The sequence below is a fragment of the Homo sapiens genome, chromosome 1 (genome assembly GCF_000001405.40).
Source record: "Homo sapiens chromosome 1, GRCh38.p14 Primary Assembly".
In the NCBI taxonomy this organism is placed as follows: Eukaryota; Metazoa; Chordata; class Mammalia; order Primates; family Hominidae; genus Homo; species Homo sapiens.
In genome coordinates, this window is record NC_000001.11 from 46,007,813 (window position 1) to 46,024,325 (window position 16,513).

The 16,513-nt window shown below is 44.3% G+C and overlaps 1 protein-coding gene across 34 annotated transcripts in view, besides 1 other annotated feature; it reads left to right on the forward strand.

The window, feature by feature from the left end:
- Window positions 1-16,513, forward strand: part of MAST2 (microtubule associated serine/threonine kinase 2) — a 232,511-nt gene that overhangs the window by 204,201 nt on the left and 11,797 nt on the right. For all 34 annotated transcript variants that reach the window (XM_011541059.3, XM_011541069.3, XM_011541061.3 and 31 more), the window contains 7 exons: window positions 484-559; window positions 2,918-3,127; window positions 11,784-11,885; window positions 14,138-14,270; window positions 15,098-15,159; window positions 15,421-15,506; window positions 15,960-16,168. In XM_011541059.3, coding sequence (XP_011539361.1) covers window positions 484-559; window positions 2,918-3,127; window positions 11,784-11,885; window positions 14,138-14,270; window positions 15,098-15,159; window positions 15,421-15,506; window positions 15,960-16,168 — 878 coding nt within the window. The remainder of the gene's footprint in view (window positions 1-483; window positions 560-2,917; window positions 3,128-11,783; window positions 11,886-14,137; window positions 14,271-15,097; window positions 15,160-15,420; window positions 15,507-15,959; window positions 16,169-16,513) is intronic.
- Window positions 4,712-4,912: a silencer, noted in NCBI's record as "peak202 fragment used in MPRA reporter construct". NCBI's record gives its function as "represses an SCP1 promoter by STARR-seq MPRAs in K562 erythroleukemia cells {active_cell/tissue: K562}" and the evidence as "EXISTENCE:reporter gene assay evidence [ECO:0000049][PMID:32103011]".

Below are 16,513 nucleotides of genomic sequence, written 5' to 3' on the forward strand. Positions count from 1 at the left end.
ACTGGCCTCATTCATCCCCAAGTTAGGTCCATGGCTGCAGCTAGTTTGGAAAAAAAATGTACGTGTGCACCGTCTTCCTTTGGTTGCTTTGGTAGTTTTTTTATTTGTTTTGTTCCCAAGAATATGCTGGGGCACACCCAACCCTATTGACCAAAACTAAGAAGACACAGAGAATCCTACTCCAGGGGAGTTTATCCTGGGAAAGCCACCAGTGAGCTTAGGAGTAGGTCCCTTTCTAGGTCTTTCTAGCCTAGAAGAGGTCTTTGTGAAAACCAAGCCTAGCTCCATATAGTACCATTTTGAACTGAACAAGGTACACTGGAAACTCCAGGAATAAGAAAGGCTCTAGAACTCAGTACCCGTTAAAGTGGGAGTATGTAGCTGCTGAAGATGGTGGGAGGGGCAGGGTCTCTGGGGATGGCCATCTTTCTTCTTGATAGTTCCATAGCACTAAAGTAACACAATCATTTCTTTCTTTTTTAGTCCCGGACGATCCCCAGTATCCTTTGACAGTGAAATAATAATGATGAATCATGTTTACAAAGAAAGATTCCCAAAGGTAAGGATCCATTTAAAAGGAGAGTGGCAATACCCCTCCGGGTGGCTGCCTACAGCCAGCCCCAATGGGAGACTCTGGAGTGAAGGAATGAAGTGCTACCTCCAGAGATAACCAAGAAGAAGAACAGAAAGTCAGCCAGGAGGCTGTGGACACAGCAACAAGGGCTTCCAGACTGCTTGAGAAGGAGACAGCAGGAAGCTATGAGTTTGGGAACTGTATTTGCAGAGCCTTTGTTTCTTCACTACCCAGAAGTAGAGTTATCCAGAGGGGAATGTCAGAAAGGTAGCCCACCATATATTAAAGAGGAAAGAAAGAACTGGAGGCTTTACTTCTCACTGTGCACATGAGGATCCATGAGTCAGGGTTCACTCATTACAGGATTTGCCCTCTGGTGGCATATTCATTTGATAGAGATTTCTTAAGCAGCACCTCATTATCAGGTGTCAGAGAGTACACAGACAGAAGTAGGCTGCACTGGCAAGAAGGCCAGAGAGAGCAGTAGGAGTGGGAGACAGATCTCAGAGTTGCTTGCTAACATCTGAATTTTCATTTTCAAGCAGGAAAATGCTGAGGAAGGAAAGTAGGTTGTTATCCTGAGATAGCTGAGAAGTAGCATTCGTAACTCTGCTGCTTGGCTGTGAACCTCCTTGTATATGGAACTAGGATCTTGTTTCCCATTTGCATGTCTCTTTTTTTGTTAAGAGATGGAGTCTTGCTCTGTCACCCAGGCTGGAGTGCAATGGCACCATCTCGGCTCACTGCACCCTCTGCCTCCGGGGTTCAGACAATTCTCCTGCCTCAGCCTCCCGAGATGCTGGGACTACAGGCATGCGCCACCACGCCCGGCTAATTTTTGTATTTTTAGTAGAGATGGGTTTTGCCATGTTGGCCAGGCTGGTCTCGAAATCCTGACCTCAGGTGATCCACCTGCCTCAGCCTCCCAAAGTGCTGGGATTACAGGCATGAGCCAGCCACTGTACCTGGCCCCATTTGCATGTCCTTTTCAACACCACATGCCTGTACGCTCTGACCTGGCCTCCTGAAGATAGGCCCTGTTCCTGACTGAGAGGGGATACTGGACTGCAGAACCTGTGCCCTGTGGTCTGTGCTTTCCAGCTTTGGAGTGGGCACTAGACAATAAGCATGAAGAAGGAGGCAGAACAAACACCTAGCAATTCATTTTGACGTATATGGTGTTTATGAAGTTTGCAAGTATATAATGTTGAGAAATGTATCTCATGCTTGTCCTCCTCCTCCTTGTATGTTAGGTGTTTTTGTAGCATTGGATGTTTGTGTTTATAGGCATGTTTCCAGTTCCTTCCTATAGGATGAACTATTGTTGGAGAAAATGTGTTAAGATTCCTTCACTTCCTTCTTTCTCCTCTACTCCCACTTTTTCACCCTCTTCCTCTTTCATTCTCCATGTAGACACACCACATATATATGTATGTAGGTATACATTTGCCTAAACACACACTGGAAATCAGAAATCACCACCTGGTAGCAAAAGAAATAAGGCAGAGTCTTAGATAGACAGCTTAGATAGGCAGCTAAGAACTCGTTCACAGATGTGTATCTGTCATTTTGACATGACTGTGTAGTTAGGTCCCTAAGAGGTTTGGAGCCAGACCTCCATTCTCCTCTGCTGGGGATCCAGGCCAGGCTCATGTTCCTATCCACAGTCCCCCCATTCCAACTCACCATCTGTGACCAGACAGGTTCACTAAGCAGCTCTCCAAGCACCTGCCTAACTCCCTTGGGTCCTAAGGTTAAGTAAGAGGATCCTGAGTTAAATGAAACTCTCTCTCACTTAACAAACTTCCCGGTTTAGAAACCAGCAGTGCCCATACACTAAGTTTACACAGTTGGGAGGTCCAGTGGAAGAACAGAGGAATGGAAACCCATTTGCCTGGGGAAATGAAAGACTTCCCAGAGGAGACACAATATTTGAACTGAGATTAGAAGGAGAATTAGGAGTTTGTCAGGCAGGCTTGGCAGGGTGAAAAAGCCACACACTGGGAAGAGCATAAACAGACAGGCATGAAACAGCATAGTAAAGGAGGAAGATAGCAAACACCTGTGTGTCCGTACAGCAAAAGAGCTTGCCCTGGAGGGAGTTGGGGGAGATGGGCAAGACCAGGTGAAAGAGGGCCTTGAATATAAAGCTAAGGCATCTTGAGTTGACTTTACTTGAAGGTGATCTATTAATGTCTTCAGTTATCAGGTTTCCCAAATGGCAGTTTAAGGAAACCAGGATCAGAGGGAGCCCATTATTTTGCTATTTCCAGGTCCTTCAGGCTTAGCTCCAACTGAGCTGGAACTAGAAGGGAAGTGTTTCTTTCTTGCTTTTCTTCCCAGGCCACCGCACAAATGGAAGAGCGACTAGCAGAGTTTATTTCCTCCAACACTCCAGACAGCGTGCTGCCCTTGGCAGATGGAGCCCTGAGCTTTATTCATCATCAGGTGATTGAGATGGCCCGAGACTGCCTGGATAAATCTCGGAGTGGCCTCATTACATCACAATACTTCTACGAACTTCAAGATAATTTGGAGAAACTTTTACAAGATGTGAGTGTCCTTGTGCTGGGGTTCTGAAAAAACCTCCACCTGGTATTGGATTTGTAATCCCAAGCTAAGATTAGGGCATTAGTGGTATTCTCAGTCTTCACAGACTGCTTGTTACCCACCCTCAAAGGTAGAGCTGAGGGACTTAGATTCCTCCTCAGTCCCCTGCAATACTGAGAGAAGCCTGCTTGGTATCAAAGGAAGTCACTTCTGTTCCTTTTCTAAATCCAAAATTATATTACTTTGTTGTATTACGCGAAGCTCCACCATGGGTAGTAGTCATAAGTATTTGACTAGGAGGTTTGCTACCCAAAGCCAAAAAGTGGCTCCAGTGGCTGTGACGGGCTTTCTTCTACTGGAAATACTGGTTTAAGCAGAGCCTTCAGACTATTTATCCTCAGCCAAGGGAAAACAGGTATGAGGCTTGCACAATGGGTTTAGCCATTTGCATGGTGAGAAGTTCTCTAGTTGGGACTTACATGTTTTGAGACCTGGTCCTCGCTGGTGTGAAAAAATCTCTGGGAGGCTAAAGGTAAAGTAATCCAGAGATGGCCAAGACCAAAGCACATGAGAGTTCTTAAGCACTGCTTCCTGCACGAGTGCTTCCTTTGCTATCAGCCTCTTGATTAAGGTGGCCAGATGCCATCTCACTCAGACCACAGCGGCTCCATGTTATCCATTAATACAGTTTGGGAGAGAGAGGATATGCCTGTCCCCGCAGAGCTCATCACATCACTAGAGAATTTCCCAGTCCAGAACCCCTTATTACCTCCAGACCAAGACCTCTCTCTCTGGAGTAGTACCAACTGAGCTGAGGGCCCAGGGCTAATGATCAAAAGGACATCAGTGTGTTCGTCTAGAAATAAGAAGGAGCAGGGAGTTTAAACAAATTTTCAGAGAACAGTTGAATCTAGAGAAAGGGTGACTAAAGATGATCATGATTATTGTTGTCAAGTAGTAGAAAGTTTCTCACATATAAAAGAGAGCAGATTGTTCTTAATACCCCTGAAAGACATAATTAGTCCAGTGGGCAGAAGTTACAGTGAGAAAGGTTTTGATTTAATAGGTGAAAAAGTAGTTCCTTCTACAAAAATACCTTTTTGTGATTTCAAAAGAAATACTTAAAATAAAACATTGTAGAAGTATAACTTTAGAAAGCCAGAGTCCCATGAAAATCACTGGTAGCTGTTTGTTTCTGTTCAAGAAAAGGTTTCTGACAGTTTTCCAGCAATGGAAAGGGGTACCCCAGAGACATATAGGAATCAGGGATTACTGCATCAGGTAAAGGATTAATGTAGAGTAACTTCCAAGTTTCCTGGTATGTTTAAGATTTATCTTCTAAAATGCTAAAGTCAGAGCCTTGCCCAAAACCTTTAGGCATTTTCCCAGATTGACTGCTTGTGTGGTTAGGTTGTTTGATACAATAGGAAGAGCACTGAATTTGGAGCCAGTTTGTTCATCTGTTCCCTAATTTGTGAAGCCCTTGGAATGCAGAAAAGAATTCAGTGCAGGCTCTATCTTAGGGAATTTGCCATCAGTGAGGTTACAGACCCATCAACATGTACTTAATAAAAATAAGTTATTACTATACTGAATACTTTATATGAATTCTCTCACTTCCACTGACTGCAATACAATGTGATTGACGAGCACTAGAGATAAGTAGGTTCTGAGCACAGAGGAGGATATGCTGACTCTTTGTGGAAAGTTCAGGGAAGGCTAGATCTTAACAGGTAGGAGTTCACTGAAGCTAGAAAACAGCATAAACAACCTTTTGCTTGGGCACAGTGGCTCATGCCTGTAATCCCAGCACTTTGGGAGGCCAGGATGGAAGGATCACTTGAGCCCAGGAGCTTGAGACCAGCCTGAGCAACAAAGTGAGACCCCATCTCTACACTAGCCAGGCATTTCACCATGTTGGCCAGGCTGGTCTCAAACTCCTGACCTCAAGTGATCGCCCTGCCTCGGCCTCTCAAAGTGCTGGGATTACAGGTGTGAGCTGCTACAAATGACCAGCTGGCAGATGAATTTGAAGAGTTGGACTGGGGGCCAGATGCTGAACGGCCTTGTGAGGAGCTTAGATTGTATCGTGAAGGCAGTGGGTATCATCCAATGTGACAAATTGAAAAATGACCTGATCAGATTTTAGAATAATAAAAGTCAGTAACATTTATGGAGCATTTAATACATGCTAGACACTGCATTACCTCATTTAATTTATCTGGTTAAATCTTCACAACCGTGTAAGAAAGGTACTTAATATTATTTCCTAAATTTACAGATAAGGAAACTAAGTTAGCTCAAGATAACTGATTTTTTTAAGTAGCAAAACCAGGACCCAACCCAGATTTGGCTTATTCCAGAGCCTAAGATCATACATTTTCAAACAGTCAACAAACATTGACTGACATCTGCTGTATAGGAGGCATTCTGCTAGGCTTAGCATTTGAGGAAAGAAACAGGGCCAGGTGCGGTGGCTCACTCCTGTAATCCCAGCACTTTGGGAGGCTGAGGCAGGCAGATCACCTGAGGTCGGGAGTTCCAGACCAGCCTGATCAACATGGAGAAAACCCATCTCTACTAAAAATACAAAATTAGCTGAGCATGGTGACGCACGCCTGTAATCCCAGCCGCTCGGGAGGCTGAGGCAGGAGAATCGCTTGAACTCAGTAGGTGGAGGTTGCGGTGAGCCAAGATCATGCCATTGTACTCCAGCCTGGGCAATAAAAGTGAAACTCTGTCTCAAAAAAAAAAAAAAGAAAAGAAAAAGACACAGAGCCTCTTTACTCACTAGGCCCAGCAGTGTAGCTGTAGAGACAGACAGCTCATTATGAAACAGCATGACAGTACCATGTGGTATGCATGAACAGCCAAGAGAACATGTTAAAGACAGCAATTCTTTTTCTTCTCGTGTGTGTGTATATGTGTGTTGGGAACAGGAGACAGGTTTTAAAAGAATAAATGGGATTTCACCAACTGCTCAACCTTTCTCTTCATTTCATAACCAATACTTTAAAAGAAGAAAAGTCCTCATTTACTGTGTTTTTTTTCCGAAGAAAAATAATTTTAAAATAATTTGTAAGCAAAAATAATCCTAATTAGGCATTCATGGGAAGATATTTAGGAAAATGTGGTACAATTTGAAAATAATAGCCATTAGAATCTAAGATATTATTGGTAATTATATCTTCGTTTTCATTGATTTTTAATACTATTTAATTTGATTATGTATTTTTCTTTTTTTTATTATTATTATACTTTAAGTTTTAGGGTACATGTGCACAATGTGCAGGTTAGTTACATATGTATACATGTGCCATGCTGGTGTGCTGCACCAATTAACTCATCATTTAGCATTAGGTATATCTCCTAATGCTATCCCTCCCCCCTCCCCCCACCCCACAACAGTCCCCAGAGTGTGATGTTCCCCTTCCTGTGTCCATGTGTCCTCATTGTTCAATTCCCACCTATGAGTGAGAATATGCGGTGTTTGGTTTTTTGTTCTTGCGATAGTTTACTGGGAATGATGATTTCCAATTTCATCCATGTCCCTACAAAGGACATGAACTCATCATTTTTTGTGGCTGCATAGTATTCCATGGTGTATATGTGCCACATTTTCTTAATCCAGTCTATCATTGTTGGACATTTGGGTTGGTTAAGGGATCAATTCAACAAGAAGAGCTAACTATCCTAAATATATATGCACCCAATACAGGAGCACCCAGTTTCATAAAGCAAGTCCTGAGTGACCTACAAAGAGACTTAGACTCCCACACAATAATAATGGGAGACTTTAACACCCCACTGTCAACATTAGACAGATCAGCGTGACAGAAAGTTAGCAAGGATACCCAGGAATTGAACTCAGCTCTCCACCAAGCGGACCTAATAGACATCTACAGAACCCTCCACCCCAAATCAACAGAATATACATTTTTTTCAGCACCGCATCACACCTATTCCAAAATTGACCACATAGTTGGAAGTAAAGCTCTCCTCAGCAAATGTAAAAGAACAGAAATTATAACAAACTGTCTCTCAGACCACAGTGCAATCAAACTAGAACTCAGGATTAAGAAACTCACTCAAAACCACTCAACTACATGGAAACTGAACAACCTGCTCCTGAATGACTACTGGGTACATAACGAAATGAAGGCAGAAATAAAGATGTTCTTTGAAACCAACGAGAACAAAGACACAACATACCAGAATCTCTGGGACGCATTCAAAGCAGTGTGTAGAGGGAAATTTATAGCACTAAATGCCCACAAGAGAAAGCAGGAAAGATCCAAAATTGACACCCTAACATCACAATTAAAAGAACTAGAAAAGCAAGAGCAACACATTCAAAAGCTAGCAGAAGGCAAGAAATAACTAAAATCAGAGCAGAACTGACGGAAATAGAGACACAAAAAACCCTTCAAAAAATTAATGAATCCAGGAGCTGGTTTTTTGAAAGGATCAACAAAATTGATAGACCGCTACCAAGACTAATAAAGAAGAAAAGAGAGAAGAATCAAATAGGCACAATAAAAAGTGATAAAGGGGATATCACCACCAATCCCACAGAAATACAAACTACCATCAGAGAATACTACAAACATCTCTACGCAAATAAACTAGAAAATCTAGAAGAAATGGATAAATTCCTCGACACATACACCCTCCCAAGACTAAACCAGGAAGAAGTTGAATCTCTGAATAGACCAATAACAGGCTCTGAAATTGTGGCAATAATCAATAGCTTACCAACCAAAAAGAGTCCAGGACCAGATGGATTCACAGCTGAATTCTACCAGAGGTACAAGGAGGAATTGGTACCATTCCTTCTGAAACTATTCCAATCAATAGAAAAAGAGGGAATCCTCCCTAACTCATTTTATGATGCCAGCATCATCCTGATACCAAAGCCGGGCAGAGACACAACTAAAAAAGAGAATTTTAGACCAATATCCTTGATGAACATTGATGCAAAAATCCTCAATAAAATACTGGCAAACCGAATCCAGTAGTACATCAAAAAGCTTATCCACCATGATCAAGTGGGCTTCATCCCTGGGATGCAAGGCTGGTTCAATATACATAAATCAATAAATGTAATCCAGCATATAAACAGAACCAAAGACAAAAACCACATGATTATCTCAATAGATGCAGAAAAGGCCTTTGACAAAATTCAACAACCCTTCATGCTAAAAACTCTCAGTAAATTAGGTATTGATGGGATGTATCTCAAAATAATAAGAGCTATCTATGACAAACCCACAGCCAATATCATACTGAATTGAATGGGCAAAAACTGGAAGCATTCCCTTTGAAAACTGCCACAAGACAGGGATGCCCTCTCTGACCACTCCTATTCAACATAGTTTTGGAAGTTCTGGCCAGGGCAATGAGGCAGGAGAAGGAAATAAAGGGTATTCAATTAGGAAAAGAGGAAGTCAAATTGTCCCTGTTTCCAGATGACATGATTGTATATCTAGAAAACCCCATTGTCTCAGCCCAAAATCTCCTTAAGCTGATAAGCAACTTCAGCAAAGTCTCAGGATACAAAATCAATGTACAAAAATCACAAGCATTCTTATACACCAATAACAGACAAACAGCCAAATCATGAGTGAACTCCCATTCACAATTGCTTCAAAGAGAATAAAATACCTAGGAATCCAACTTACAAGGGACGTGAAGGACCTCTTCAAGGAGAACTACAAACCACTGCTCAGTGAAATAGGATACAAACAAATGGAAGAGCATTCCATGCTCATGGGTAGGAAGAATCAATATCGTGAAAATGGCCATACTGCCCAAGGTAATTTTTATAGATTCAACACCATCCCCATCAAGCTACCAATGACTTTCTTCACAGAATTAGAAAAAACTACTTTAAAGTTCATATGGAACCAAAAAAGAGCCCGCATCGCCAAGTCAATCCTAAGCCAAAAGAACAAAGCTGGAGGCATCATGCTACCTGACTTCAAACTATACTACAAGGCTACAGTAACCAAAACAGCATGGTACTGGTACCAAAACAGAGATATAGATCAATGGAACAGAACAGAGCCCTCAGAAATAACGCTGCATATCTACAACTATCTGATCTTTGACAAACCTGAGAAAAATAAGCAATGGGGAAAGGATTCCCTATTTAATAAATGGTGCTGAGAAAACTGGCTAGCCATATGTAGAAAGCTGAAATTGGATCCCTTCCGTACACCTTATATAAAAATTAATTCAAGATGGATTAAAGACTTAAACGTTAGACCTAAAACCATAAAAACCCTAGAAGAAAACCTAGGCATTACCATTCAGGACATAGGCTTGGGCAAGGACTTCATGTCTAAAGCACCAAAAGCAATGGCAACAAAAGCCAAAATTGACAAATGGGATCTAATTAAACGAAAGAGCTGCTGCACAGCAAAAGAAACTACCATCAGAGGGAACAGGCAACCTACAAAATGGGAGAAAATTTTCGCAACCTACTCATCTGACAAAGGGCTAATATCCAGAATCTACAATGAACTCAAATTTACAAGAAAAAAACAACCCCATCAAAAAGTGGGCGAAGGACATGAGCAGACACTTCTCAAAAGAAGACATTTATGCAGCCAAAAAACACATGAAAAAATGCTCACCATCACTGGCCATCAGAGAAATGCAAATCAAAACCACAATGAGATACCATCTCACACCAGTTAGAATGGCAATCATTAAAAAGTCAGGAAACAACAGGTGCTGGAGAGGATGTGGAGAAATAGGAACACTTTTATACTGTTGGTGGGACTGTAAACTAGTTCAACCATTGTGGAAGTCAGTGGGGCGATTCCTCAGGGATCTAGAACTAGAAATACCATTTGACCCAGCCATCCCATTACTGGGTATATACCCAAAGGACTATAAATCATGCTGCTATAAAGACACATGCACACGTATGTTTATTGCGGCACTATTCACAATAGCATTTACTGTTTTTCTTTCCTTGTATCCTATTTACTACTCAATCTTCTGCCTTCCAGTTTCCCTTCCCACCAGTCTACCAAAACTGTTCAGGCAAAATTCACCAAGGAACTCACTGGCCAATTGCCAAATCCTGTGGCCACTTTCAGTTCCCATCTTCTGCCACCTCTCGGTGGAGCACAGTGAATACTTCCTAAACTTCCTTCCCCAGTTGTCAATTCACTGTTCTCACCACTCTTGCTGCCTCTTCACAAGTTCCTTTGCTGCCCACCTCTTCCTACTGGTGTGTCACAGGGCACCATCCGGCATGCCTGGTCTCCCCTTTCTCTTTCCTCCACTCTCTCTCTGATGTCTTGCCACCTGCTCCCATGTCTTCAGTTGTCATCTCTACGCTGAGGACTCCCACATGTGGCTGCCACTCTTACTGTTCTCCTGAGCTTCAGATCAGTGCACCCAGCTGCCTGCTGGACTCCTCCACTTTGACTTCCCTATATTGGTTCTTATTCTTTGGTTGCACGTAATAGAAACTGATTCAGAATAGTTTAAACAGTAAAGGGAAACATTATAAGAGTAAAAGGAGTAGGTCTTAGAGAATTGAAGCGAGGGATATAACCAGGCCTTAAGAAGGAACCAGAACTAGAAACCAGAAGCTCCAGGAAGCTCAGGAAGTCTTCATTCTTCCTTTTTCTGTATGCATCTTTTCCTCTATTTCCATGGTAGGTATGCATCTCTTTTCACAGTTCTTAAACGGTTCTGCCACACTGACGTTAACAGTTGTCTTTCTATCCTTTTTTAAATTCCTAGGAAAGTGATCCTCTCTGGTCAGCTATTAGAGGTGGGAGGGAAGGTACAGACACACAGTACAAATGTGGCTCCTAGAAACCAGAGCAGTTCTCAGGAAAAAAGAGAAAGGCCCATCGGCCAAGCAGATACCCAAGAGACTCTCATATAGGTGCCTGAAACTGCACGCCCAGAACTGAGCTTATCTTTTCTGCCTAGCTGTTCTTTCTCTAAAACCAAATGCAGTACATTCTTTACCTATCACCTAAATGGCTTCTTATAGTTACTATTTCACTTATTCATTGTAATTTTCCTAAAATTGAAGTTGTAGTTGCCTTCTGTCGTGCTTCTTTCACCCCTTATCTGCTTCTGTAGTAACCCACGTCTATCCCCTTGTCTGCATTCTTCTGCCTTGACCTATGCCTTTTTCATCTGAATTATTAGAGTTGCCTGCTAATGGGTTTTCCTGCATTTAGCCTTGCCCTCTTTAGTGTACTCTCTACACTGCAGCCAGAGTGATCCTTCTGAAGTACTTTCTGGTCATATGACTCCTCAGCTTTGAGGTCTTTCTACTCCTTACAGTCTAGGGTGGAAAGTGAACATCAGTGAAGGCACCATTGAGAGCTGCCCCTTGAGCTAGGGTCTGGAGGGTAAGTGAGGCTTGTTGGATGGAGGAGCAGGTACAGCTGTATGTCTGTGTGGCATTTCTTGGTGTCATGTAGTGTTCTAAAGCAGAAATGGTTCCCTATGAGCAACTCGCTCCCTCTCACAGCCAGCCAGCCTTCTCTGAGTTCCTTGCTTTGCGGAGCTCTCTATGCTACCGAATTGTTTCTCCCTGGAGTCAGCTCTGCCCTGTCTGGTCCTGCTTAGCCCAGCCACACTGGGCCAATAGATTAAGCAACGCTTCTTTTCTCTATAGGCTCATGAGCGCTCAGAGAGCTCAGAAGTGGCTTTTGTGATGCAGCTGGTGAAAAAGCTGATGATTATCATTGCCCGCCCAGCACGTCTCCTGGAATGCCTGGTGAGTGGACTCTAGGAAAGTCAGGTGGGCAGATTTAGAGGAGGACTATAGAGGAAGTATCCTGATGACAGCAAAACTGTGGTGGTAACCACTGCCATTTCTGTTGCTTAGGTCCTTATTTAAATATGATTTGCCACCATTGGGGGACTAAACAGGTTTTTGTGAGGACAAATGTATGGTCCTGAGGGGATGCGGCAGGGAGAATTATTAGTCTAGGCCACCCCCACATGAGCAGGGCTCACATCAGTGGGGGTCTTGGGGGTGAGAAGCGTCAGGAGCATAGCCCAGTTTAGTTTGTACAAGTTGAGTCCTTCATTTTATCTTCAGCAATACTTGACTGAGTACCTACTTCCTGCTAGACACTGGAGATACAGACATGAATAAAGCACAGTCTCTGATCTTGGGATGTTTCCTCTACAGTGGAGTTGGGAAGCATGAGGCATGAGGACATGTAAATAGTAATTACAATACTGCAAGAAGTGTTGCAGTTGAGGTCAGTACACAGCGTAACGGGAACCTGGAAAAGGAAGTGCTTTAGTCTTCCCTGGAAGGAACATTCAGTGAATGCTCCCTGGGGGACGTGAGGCTTATTCAGCAAACTGAAGGATGAGTCTAAGTTTCCCAGATCGGGAGCATGGGAAGGAGCATTCAGTGGGGCACAGGGTGGGTTTGAAGAAGTGCTGAGGGGTAAGCCTGGAAGGTAGGCTGTGACAGGGTCATGGAGGGTGTCGGGTTCTCGGCTCTGGAGTTTTTCATTACCCTTACGGCCACTTGGAGACACCAGAAAGTTTAGGTAAGAATGTGACATGGCCGCATTTACTTTTTTCTTAAAAAATATTATTAAGGTATAATTTTCATACAATAAAATATATCCCTTTGATGGTACAGTTCATTGAGATTTAACAAATACACACTTGTAGAATCGTGGCCACAGCTGACATAGAGAATATTTCTGTCATATAAGTTCCCTTGTGCCCCTTTGAAGTCAGTCCTCTCTTCCTCCTGCTCCCAGACAATAACTTAACTGCTTTGTTTCACTAGGGATGGGTTTGCCTTTTGTACAGTTTCCTAGAAATGAAACCATGTTTCTGTGTGGTTTCTGTAGTATGTTCTGAATTCTTTCACTCAGCATGTTTGTAGAAATTCATACATGTTGTTGCATGTATCAGTAATTGGTTCCTATTTATTTCTGTGTAAATATTACATCAGATTTAGTCCTAAGAAAGATTACTTTGGCTGCAACATGGATAGTGAATTGGAAGAGAGGGCAGGATGAGCCAGGGACATCAGGGGAGAGGTACTCAAAGCAAATTCATGTGAGATGGGGTGGCCAGAACTCAGACAGTGAATGGTAGGATAATAGAGAGAAAGAGGTGGATTAGAGGGGTATTTATGAGAGAGACATTCTGACCAAATAGGAGCTAAGGAAGGATAAGAAGTTAAAAGGACTTCCAGGTCTGGCGTAGGTTATATCCAGATAGGTACAGTTCTCCAAAACAGTGAGGCCACAGGGAATGAGAACAGAGTTCAGGGCAGAGGCTATGCTGTGATAGAGCAGAGAGCCTCTCCCTCAGGAACATGAAGTCCTTGGCTAAGCAGGGGCTTGGAGTCAGACCTGGGCTGAATGCTGGTTTTCTGTTCCTTCCTACTACTGTGATTATGGACAAATCAGTGCATCCCTGAAAGCCTTGATTTCCTCAGTGAGGTCAAAGAGTTGCTAGAGGGTTTAACCCAGTGTGTGGCACTTAGTAGGCACTCAGTTATTATGTGCAGACAAGGATTGTGCTTTTCAATGGATTTCCAGCCTCTAGCACATAGGAGGTGCCCAGTAAATATTTGAAGGTATACATGCACCAGTAGGGCTTTGCCAAAGCTCTTGTGAGCCATAATTGAGTGTGTGCCAGGACAGCTGTGGACTGGGCATCTGAATACACCAGACAGTGCCACCTGGCTGATGGAAAGCATGGGACCAGATCAATAGGCTGAGCTCTCTTTAGAGTAAAACCTCTAGTTCTTACTGCCAGGAAGACAGCATATGCTTAGCATGTCCAATCTGGAGGTGACCTGTAAGACATCTTTGTCCCCATTCCTGTGATCCCTGAATCATGTTGTTTCTGAATATTCAGGGGTGGGAGTGTCCTATCACAGAGAAAGTCTTGTTCATCTCAGTCTACTATATGCTGTAAAACCAAAGATGCCAGCAGCTTTCGCTTATATCTGTCACCACTGACTATCTCTCTCCCTTGGTACAGGAGTTTGACCCTGAAGAGTTCTACCACCTTTTAGAAGCAGCTGAGGGCCACGCCAAAGAGGGACAAGGGATTAAATGTGACATTCCCCGCTACATCGTTAGCCAGCTGGGCCTCACCCGGGATCCCCTAGAAGGTGAGCATGCTGCCTAGTGGCTGCAAAGAGGCCCCACTGCTGCTGGCAAGCTCTAACAGCAGGGAAGCTGCTTGGAAAAGAGACTTAGCTTGGACATGGACACAACATGGCCCCGGGGGCCTCAGGATTTTAGGAGATACCCTGTGATCTCTGTGACAAAACAGTCTTTACTTTGGAACTGCTGTTCACATCTGCCTGATAGATCCCAACCTGGATTGCATTGGCCCGGCTGAGTTGCATTTAGAACCTCAGTTCCAAAGAGGTCAACAACAAAGGGCCACAATCACATTTGCAAAAATGGTCACCTCCTCTGCAACTTGCCTCTACTCTTGGCCACCTTACAGGTCTTCCTGTGTCTTTGGGGTAGTCCAACACAGGGCTTCAGAGGATACTGCCATTCTTCTGGGCTTCCTGCTGAACCCCTGCAGCAACCATGGGCTTCCAAGTCCCTGGTCTGTAGGTATCCTGCTCCTGCCTTCTGTGCTTCCCAGCCCCATCCAGTGAAGCAGTCTTGGCCAGCAGGATGGGAACTAGTAACCCAGTTTCAGGCCCTGTTTTCCAGGAAATGTCCCCAGTTTATAGAATTTGCCAGGCCCTGTGAATGGCAATGGACTTCTGGAAATGGGAGTAGCAGTAGGATTTGGCTTGTTTCCTGATCCAAAAGCTGGGACTACATTGGGTATAGTGCCATGGGACTGAATTCACATCCTAGGCTGATGCAAAAAGCATTAATGACTACCCTACATGCACCTGTTGTGTGATCTGAGGATACTGCTGAGATACCTGACATTGCCACGCACATTCTTCTCTTGTATCTTTGTTTCCAGAAATGGCCCAGTTGAGCAGCTGTGACAGTCCTGACACTCCAGAGACAGATGATTCTATTGAGGTAAAAACCCTGAGCTCCTACCCCATTCCTGGAGCCTGGGCCCTATGAAGCAAAGAGCTATGAATTCTCTTTAAGAGAATATCTGAGGAAGGGATGGGGGAGTTGGTGACAGCAAACACTGAGAAGTCATTCTACTCCCAGAAGAATGAGCAGGAGACTGCACTAGAGCTGACAGCTGAGAAGATGCTAGAGCCACAGCTTCTGCAAGGATATGGGCTCTGAGAAGCATGCCTGTCTCCTGCCTTTTCCCTTGTCTTCCAGGGCCATGGGGCATCTCTGCCATCTAAAAAGACACCCTCTGAAGAGGACTTCGAGACCATTAAGCTCATCAGCAATGGCGCCTATGGGTAAAGGCAGGGGTCAGGGTGTGGCCAGGACTGAAGCCGGGTCAGCCTTTGATCTCTTCCATGTGAGAGTGTATGCTGCCCAGTCCTCTGGGCAGATGCCTCGGGGTGGACCTTCTCACTCCCAGAAGCCTCCTGGGTGGGCAGGAGTTCAGATTCCTCTGACATCCGATCATTGTTCCTTTCCCAGACAAGATTCCCACGCCTCTTACTACCACGCATCCTCCATTCCCTGAGCTCTGGGGAAGCATTGAGCCGTGTCATCAGGACATGGTCTATCAAGAAGTTTAAGAGTTCTATGGACCAGGGGGTCCCAGACCCTTCTCACTGATATGCATGCCCTTGCCCCCTTGTTCTGTGCATTAATTAAGGTGTGAGAGAAGGCAGTTTGGGTGGCAGAGAGCACAGCTCAGGTGCTGAGGGTCCATGGGGGATGGGCCGGACTTTGTTTCCCAGGGCTGTATTTCTGGTGCGGCACAAGTCCACCCGGCAGCGCTTTGCCATGAAGAAGATCAACAAGCAGAACCTGATCCTACGGAACCAGATCCAGCAGGCCTTCGTGGAGCGTGACATACTGACTTTCGCTGAGAACCCCTTTGTGGTCAGCATGTTCTGCTCCTTTGATACCAAGCGCCACTTGTGCATGGTGATGGAGTACGTTGAAGGTACTGAGGCAAAGGTGGCCTGGCATGGAGGCCAAGGCACAGTCTGAGACTTAGCCTTAAACAGGGACCAGCAGCTTTGTACAGAGGTGAAGTTTCAGGGCCCAGCTTTCCAGTCCACCTTTGGCATTGGTTTCTGCCTCAGGATCACAGAGACCATTTGGCCACAGTGGGCACAAAGCTCCCTGCCTCTACCATGAGAGGCATTCTGGGATAGGATGTAGCAGGCCAGCAGCTATAGAATCTTGCACCCCAAAGCCTGCACGCTCTCTACTGCTGGTATCAGACAGCAACAGAGGAGGCAGCAGAGCTACAAAAGCCCAGGATTAGGTGCTAGGAGGTTTGCAT